Source organism: Homo sapiens, chromosome 13 (genome assembly GCF_000001405.40).
Source record: "Homo sapiens chromosome 13, GRCh38.p14 Primary Assembly".
Classification (NCBI taxonomy): Eukaryota; Metazoa; Chordata; class Mammalia; order Primates; family Hominidae; genus Homo; species Homo sapiens.
In genome coordinates, this window is record NC_000013.11 from 82,412,530 (window position 1) to 82,421,070 (window position 8,541).

General features: G+C 33.7%; 1 annotated feature.

Moving 5' to 3' along the window:
• Positions 2,632-2,832: a silencer, noted in NCBI's record as "peak2090 fragment used in MPRA reporter construct". NCBI's record gives its function as "represses an SCP1 promoter by STARR-seq MPRAs in K562 erythroleukemia cells {active_cell/tissue: K562}" and the evidence as "EXISTENCE:reporter gene assay evidence [ECO:0000049][PMID:32103011]".

An 8,541-nucleotide genomic window follows, 5' to 3' on the forward strand; every position in this document is an offset into this window, starting at 1 on the left:
CTGGACTATTTTCTGATCCATTAGTGTGTATGCGCACAAACGTACACAGTGTGCACACATATGTATGTCCATGTAGGCACACACATACATATTCATAAGCTAATGCCTCACTCTTTCACATAACTATCTACTTTGGTGGATTTTCTGCTGTCAACTTTACACTAGAAACAATCCCTTATAATTTTGCTAACATGTTTATTAGAATCTTTTTGATGTTCCTCTTTTTGGTTTAGAGTTGTTAAATGAGAGGAACTCTGAATGAACTTTGGAAGGCCAAAGTTAAACGTGTTTATTCTTGAACTGATGTGGTGGCCAGATATAGCAGCTTCACAGACCTCTCCGTGTTGGTGACAATAAGATATGGCAGTTTCCAGAGTGTCTTTGACTTTCTCTGTGTGGTGACAGTTGCCACATGTGGATTCTAGTACTCACCCTTTGACCTCTGGCTTCTCTATCGACTCCAGTGATGCAAGCTGAATTTATCAGGTCTTCTTTTCTCCATATTCATTTATTCGGTTACGCTGACATTTCAGTCAGTTTTACTTTATGCATTAGACACCTTTATTTCTATTGTACATGTGGTGTATTGTAATATCATGTAATCCAAATACTTTCTAGTATGCTTTAGTATCTCAAGAGGCTGACCCCCACTCTATTGTTATTTTTCAGTTTTTTTTTTTTGGCTACTCATAGCTATCACTTGTATATAAATTCTTTAGCTAACTTGGATAGCTTTAGAAAGAAATAATTTGAGATTTTGTTCAGATTTAATTTAATGTATAAATTAATCTTGGAAAAAGAGACATCTCTATGTTGTTGCACCTGGTATGAATTTCCCATCATTCAAATGTACTTTGGTGTGTCTCATAAGTACTTTAAAGTTTTAGGTGTGTAGACTTTGCACTTTCTACTTCATTTTATTGCTAAGACTTTCACATTTTGTTATGTGCCTTATTTTATGTCTTACCACATCATTTGTATACATACATATGATTCATTTCTGTATGTAGATTTTACATCCTATTACCTTAATGAATGTTCTTATGGTATTTAATATTTTACTTATTGATTTTGTCTTTTTTTTCCTGAACATTCTGTTTTGTCATAAGTGAACAGAGATAGTTCTGCCTCCTTTTCTAAGCCTTATTACTCCAATAGCTGGTCTTAACTAAATGCATTGACTACTGCTTCAATATAGTACTTAATATTAAGAATCACAATTTATATGCTTTCTTTTCTTAAACACAGCAGAGAAAAATATATGACTCCATTGTTGAGATTTTGTTCTGTGGAATGTTAGAAAAATAATAATTTAATTCTGATTAACTGAGACATTTACTTAGAAAAGGATTGGAATCTTATAAAATTTTTTTTTCAGAGTTTGTTAATAGGTATATGCTATTCCTCCTCGGCTCTATTAATATAGTAAATATGATTTCCAATACTGAAACTTGCTTACATTATTGGAATTAGTCTCACTTGTGCAGTGGATATAGTCTACCAGTTATGAAGATATATATTTTAGCTAACATAGTTAAGAATTGAACTATACATATGTGAGCCAAGTATTTATTATAATTTTTTTCTTATTGATTTGATTTTGAATTTTAAAATTATTTTTCCTGAAATATTTACTTTTACTTCTCATTGTCTTCTTAAATGTTCATGTATGTCCACTTCTTGTCACTTGTGGCTAGAGTTAGCTAGAGGGCTCCACTTTCATAGGCCTGAACGATGTGTGGCCCATGTAGATATCTGAAAAACAACAATTTTCTCAATAATAGGTCATTATATTCAACTACTTGATATCCTTTTTACTCACAGTGATGAGCAGTGGGTGATAGCAACATTTATTTTCAGAGCAGATTCTATTCTATTGTTATGGTCAGCTGGCAAACTCTGCTCGTTACAACTTCTCTCACACAATTAATTTCTCCAAGCATGGATCCATTTCAGTCTTCGTGAGTGGAATCAATTCTAGAGGATGATGGTGTAGGCAAGAGAAAAATTTCTTTCCTCCAACCTCCTAGGTTCTTTGGCTGATCTACAAATTAAATTGACATAAGACAGATCAACAGGAGAAAACCCACAATTAATTTCCTAAGTACCCCTGATAGTCCCACAGAATATGAGACTCAAAGAACAACCAGATGATTGAAGCTTATGTAGTATCCTAAGTTGCAGGAAGGAAAAGGGGATTTGGGCTTCTGAGGGGTCAGAGTGGAGACAAGTTATGGGGTCAAGAAGGAGAGGAAATGTATGGGGAATAAAGTTAATCTTGTTATACAGATAAAAAGTCTATCCGGTAATAAAAGTTGTCTGGAGCAAACTTCTTTCTGATACAGATACGGTTACTTACCTAGATTTTCTTTACACAAGTTCATTCTCTTTGTGAAAGGACAGCTTTTCAGAGCTACTCCTGTGTCTGTAGTTTCTCAATATAATGTGCTGTAAATAAGCTTCAAATGTATATTTTAGGGTGCCATAACTGGCCTCCCGCAGTCGTCCTTTGGTGTGAGCCCAATAATGGCAGTTCGCATCCAAGTCTCCTATACACTCTTTCTAACAAGAATACAGAGAGATACAGAGAAAAATTAAAACATACATAGATGTCAGAAAAAACTAAAAGTCACAATTTATTTCATTCCATGTATTATTTATTTCATCCTGGCAAAAGGTGATGGATGAACAGAGAAAGCAGAGCCTCCATAGCATTGAGAAGAAGCTGTAAGACTTCACCTAGAGTCCATTCTCACAAAGATAAGACTCCTGCCACAGTGGAAACAGCTCAAAGTATAAACAAGGCCTGAAGGATCAGATCAATAAGAAAGTAAAAGGAAAGGGCGTTTGGAAAAAATGCAAGAAAACAATTTGAAACTAAGTACTGTAGAAAGAAGAGGGTTGCTCCAGGCCAGGAGTTTGTGATCAGCTTGAGCAAAATAGTGAGATCTTGTCTTTATAAAAAATAAAAATTTAAAAAAAACTGTAGTATATTTTTCTTTAAACATTTTTCTTTAAACATTTAAACAAAAGGCACTTTTGGAGACAGTCTAAGAGGAAAGGCTGAAGTGGTGTGGAGATGGTCATTTCCTTGTGAATGGGATTATAATTTAGCTCAAAATCTGAGCATAAATTTTGATTTGGTTTGTAGTTTGGGATAAAGATTATTTATTTAGAATAGTTTATATAAAAATTCCTTTAGAGTGGCATAGATTTAGAAATGTAGGTTAGTGTATATAAATAAATTTTACAGGCAAGAAATTTGAAAGCTACCTGGTATTATTATCAAGATTACCCAAACTAAATCAAGTCAAAATCATTTTGGACAACTATTTTAAAAAAAGAAAAAACAAAAAGAAAAGCTATAGTTATTTTTAAATCAGCTTTCCTTTTTCTTCAACGTCAAGAGCCATAGCAGATGTATTAGTTAATCCCTGAGTATTTTTTATCTTGCTTTCCTCTTCAGGGGAATCTTGAATTAATTTAGTACCCTGTGAATTCAGCTTACATTCTCATTTTCCTAAAGGTGAAGAAATTCTTAATTTGAACTGGTCCAACTTATCAATCTTTTCTTCGTATTAGTGACTTGACATCCTATTTATGAAAACTTTTTCTACTTTACAATCATGCAGATAATCTCTATAATCATCTATGTATTTTTATATTTTTATTTAATATTGTGTAAGATGGGATGTTTCACATTTTATTCCAAATAAGAAAGCATTATTTTTTTGAAAAAAAATCAAAACTTTCCTCATAGTTTAGTGTTTACACCATTTTTATAAATATAGAAGCAACATATGTACAAGTCCATTATTCACTATTCTGTCACAATAGTGTATCTCTTCATTTCTGGTCAATAATATAATGCCTTAATTAATGTAACTGCTATCCAGTAGAGAAAGCCCTCTGTCAGTTATGGGAATATATGCAAATAAAATTCTGCAATATGTTAAAAGTATTTTTGCTTTTGAATTAATTTAGTACTATGTAAAACAATGTTAAGATGCAGCTTTAATCCTCATTTCTTAAAGATGAAAAAATTCAAAACTATATTTTGTTTATTTGAGAGAATCAAGATGGTCTAAAAATTTGAAAATCAGCCAGTCATTCAGTGCCTCTACAACTACAGTTGTCTTCAGGTGGATTAAAAAATGTGATATAAGGATGTTAACATCATATATTCTCTCCCATATTTTGATGCACGGATTTGTTTCTGCCTAGTTCTTTTCCTTACAGGATCCTAACAGTCAACCAGCTCTTTGGCCGCTTCCTGAGAGTCAATATGTATTCTCAGCTTGATCCTCCATACAAAAAAACCAATGAAAGTGGGAAGCACTTGAAGTTTTATCGTCTACTGGAATAATTTTTCCTTTCCACTGTCCTTCAAGTCCATCCTGAATGTCACTGTACTGAAAGTACTATCCATTTTTTAACTTGCACACACAACTCATATTATTCACAGAAAAGAGGAGATATTCATAAAATTGTGTTAATATTAGCACTAAAAGTGTTTATAGAATTTAAAATCCATTCATAATGAAAATAGCTTCTCAAATCTTATAAACAATCTCTACAAGAATTCTCCAGCACACATGATACAAAATGAAGTGTTAAAATTTTTTCCGAGATAATAAATTTGACCAAAATAAAACCTTTTGTTAAACATTTTACTAATCTTATCCAAAATGCTTTGGACCAAAATTGTTTGGATTTTAGTTTTTTCTTTGTTTTTGTTTTTTGTTTTAATGCAGTGGCACAGTCATATCTCACTATAGCCTCGAATTCCTGTGCTCAAGTGATCCTCCCACATCAGCCTCTCAAGTAGCTATAACTAGAGGTATGCCACTGTGCCTGTTTAATTTTTTTTTTCTTTTTTACAGAGATGGAATCACACTATGTTTCCCAGGCTGGCCCCAAAACTCCTGGCCTCAAGTGCTCCTCCTGCCTCAGCCTCCCAACACACTAAGATTACAGGTGTGAGCCACCATGCCTGGCCTATTTTCATTCCCAGCCTCACCTTGCTTGCTCCTTTGCCTCTTTTCCTCATGATCAACTCACAAATGTACTTCTTGCATTTGAATCTTTTATTGATGAAACTTAACAGGCTTATTCTAAACTTTAAATGGCAATTTGAGAGGCCACATATAAACAAGACTCTCTGGAAGTATAATAACAAGTTATTTGGAAACATATGTTTGATTTGATTTTACCCTGTTGGATCATTGTCTTTGAAAAATTATTTGGGAAGTTTTTAGGTTTGGGACAAAGGTATATTTCTTAGAGGGCATTTGTGTTTCAATTCGCCAGAAATCTGCAGTACTGCTAATCCGGATGAGCTCAATCACACAGATTGTATGGATCCACGCTCCAAATCCATGTGAGATAAATGCCTTAATCTCAGAGGCAGCTATTTCTTTTTTATCTCCAGTTTCCCCTTAGTGAAAATTAACCTTTCTCTGCTCTTCTCTTTGGAAGGGTGTGGGGTGGACTTTTTCAGGTTCAGTTTTAGCCTGAGCTAACATTGTGAGGGTCTTCCTGTTAGATTTTTATGCTATAAAAGATTCACAATGGTGACATAACTGATATTCCTCATCCCAGGTGATCAACAAAACTAAAGCCCAACGTTTATGATACTGACAAATTTCATAGCTGCATAAAAAGCTGATTTAGTGTTCTTGTGCATCACTGATTTCTGTGTTTCTATTTATCTTTAATTGTACCCTGATTTGTGTCTTCAATCTTATATAGATGTGCTTTACATTTTTAAAAATATTTTACAGCATTTAAAATTATTTGGCAAATTTTTCTGAATAATTTAGCCACTAACAGAAATAAAATGATGCACATTTTTCTTTTTTCTTTAAGATTTATTCATCATCCTTTCATTCTCTCCTCTCTGATACAGAAGGCTGCATCTTACAAACTACATTTTCCAGATGTCTTTTCCCAGAGGCTTCCTCTTGCGTTTGTATAGTAGTAGAGACTAGCAGTATAGAGTAGGAAGAAAGGAGAAGAGAAAGTATTTATCTTCCTCTTCCGTATTTTGAGTAGCATTTCTAATAAGTTACTACATTTCCTCCATGATTCCAGCCTTAGCTGGACACCCTAGCTCTCTAGCTCTGAACGTATCACAAAACTTTTTCTGATCCTTTAGTTCTAGGAGTACCAGTGGCTTTTTGATACCGCAGATCTCAGAGGTAACTCACCATCCTATTTTCCTTTAGCTTCCCATCAACTTTGTCACTAGTTTTCTGTATTAAATTTCTCTATTTTACTACCAGGCACGCCAGCTTCCGTGAATGTCTTACTCACCTGGCCATTATGCATTTTGATAATTTCCAGGTGGTAGATTTTTCTAATCATGTTGCAATAAGCTCTGAAAGTCATTCAGGTTTCAGAGTTACCAAAAAGTTTCCAATACAATTCTTCAAACTTTCACTTAACAAAGTGAAAAGAAGAAACTAAAATAAATCACTAAAAAAAAAAAAGAAAAAGAAAAAGAAAAAAATGCAGCCAGTGAATGACTGGGCTTAAGACAGGAGCACATCTAAGCAGCAGTGTCCATTTCTGCTGCTTTTCAGCAAACCCTCAAGACTGACTCAAAGCAGGAATTTTAGCCCTTGTGTCAATATTTGAGTTATTTTCTGGCTTATAACATTGAAACTTTTCACAAAGCATTCTACAGAAAATATGAATCTCTCCATTTATTAATCCCAGTGTTCACTGAAAATTAAAACATTACTATCATTTATCTAATAATGGTTCCTTGACTTCTATTAAATTGTATTGTTTACTTCATGAATCCAATCTAGATGTGACATTATTAATTTTCATTTTATTATATAACTTTATATATCCTCTTGTTTTTAGCTTTGTTTATAATTTTCTAGGATATATTTGAGCACATCAACATTGATAGTTTTAGGGAAAAATTATTGTTAAATCAAGTGTAGCCTAAAGCTGCCTCCTTACATGTTTTAAGTTCGGTCTAAAGGTTTCTCTTTACATAGTGAACTATAACCTAAATGGAATCGTACACAGATTGTAGCCCACTCTTGTGCCAAACACCAAGTTTTGGCCAATCAAAGGTGGCCAATTCTTCACACTCAAATAAGGCAAATGCCAAGCTGTAACCAATCTGGCTGTTTCTGTAACTCGTTTCCATTTTCTGTGTGTCACTTTCCTTTTTCTGTAACAAATCCTCTTCCACCACGTAGCTGCGCTGGAGTCTCTGAGCCTATGCTGGCTCAGGATGCTGCCAAACTCACGAATCCTTGTTGACTTAATTAAACTCTTTGGAAATTAATTTGGCTATAAGTTTTCCATTTAACATGGTAATGTAAACTATGAAACAAGCTGATTATGAAAGAAGGCCTGGTATAAAAGAGTAAACCTTTTATAAAAAAGAACTTGTTATGTTATTGTTGATTTAATATTGTTAAAATTTTCAGAAATATTTTACAATAATCAGTAAGCTATTTTGATTTGTGGTTTCACAGTTTATGGTTACAATGACCTTGTTAACATATCATTTTCTCAAGTAACTTATTTCTTGAAAAAAAATTTTAACTTTTGTAAGGATGTAATAATAGCACATACAAAAGTGCACTGACACCCAAAATAAACTTCAAGACTTAAACAATTAATCTAACAATTTAGGCTTCATTGTCTTATTTATAAGAAATACAGTGTGAAAATCTGGAAGATACAAATGGCAGACCAAAAACTTGTGTTACCGATCAAAATATAATGTCTATTATTATAACATAATAATATATACATATAATATATTTATATAATAATGTAAATAATATACATTATTTCCTTTAAAATCAATATATAACCACAAATTTTTACTGGGCCAAACTGTTGGATAAATGAATTTTCAAACATTATCTATCCTCCTCATTCACTTTCATTCAGTAGTGTGAAGGTCCTGAGGGTTTTAAAGAGTGTGAAGGCCTCTAACAATGTTCCTCTCTTCTTTGGTTTTAGGGGAAGCCCACTTATGATCTAGCTCAAAGAGCTTCTGCACAGCAAAAGAAACTACCATCAGAGTGAACAGGCAACCTACAGAATGGGAGAAAATTTTTGCAATCTACTCATCTGACAAAGGGCTAATATCCAGAATCTACAATGAACTCAAACAAATTTACAAGAAAAAAACTAACAACCCCATCAAATAGTGGGTGAAGGATATGAACAGACACTTCTTAAAAGAAGACATTTATGAAGCCAACAGACACATGAATAAATGCTCGTCATCACTGGCCATCAGAGAAATGCAAATCAAAACCACAATGAGGTACCATCTCACACCAGTTAGAACGGCGATCATTAAAAAGTCAGGAAACAACAGGTGCTGGAGAGGATGTGGAGAAATAGGAACACTTTTACACTGTTGGTGGGACTGTAAACTAGTTCAACCATTGTGGAAGACAGTGTGGCGATTCCTCAAGGATCTAGAACTGGAAATACCATTTGACCCAGCCATCCCATTACTGAGTATATACCCAAAGGATTATAAATCATGCTGCT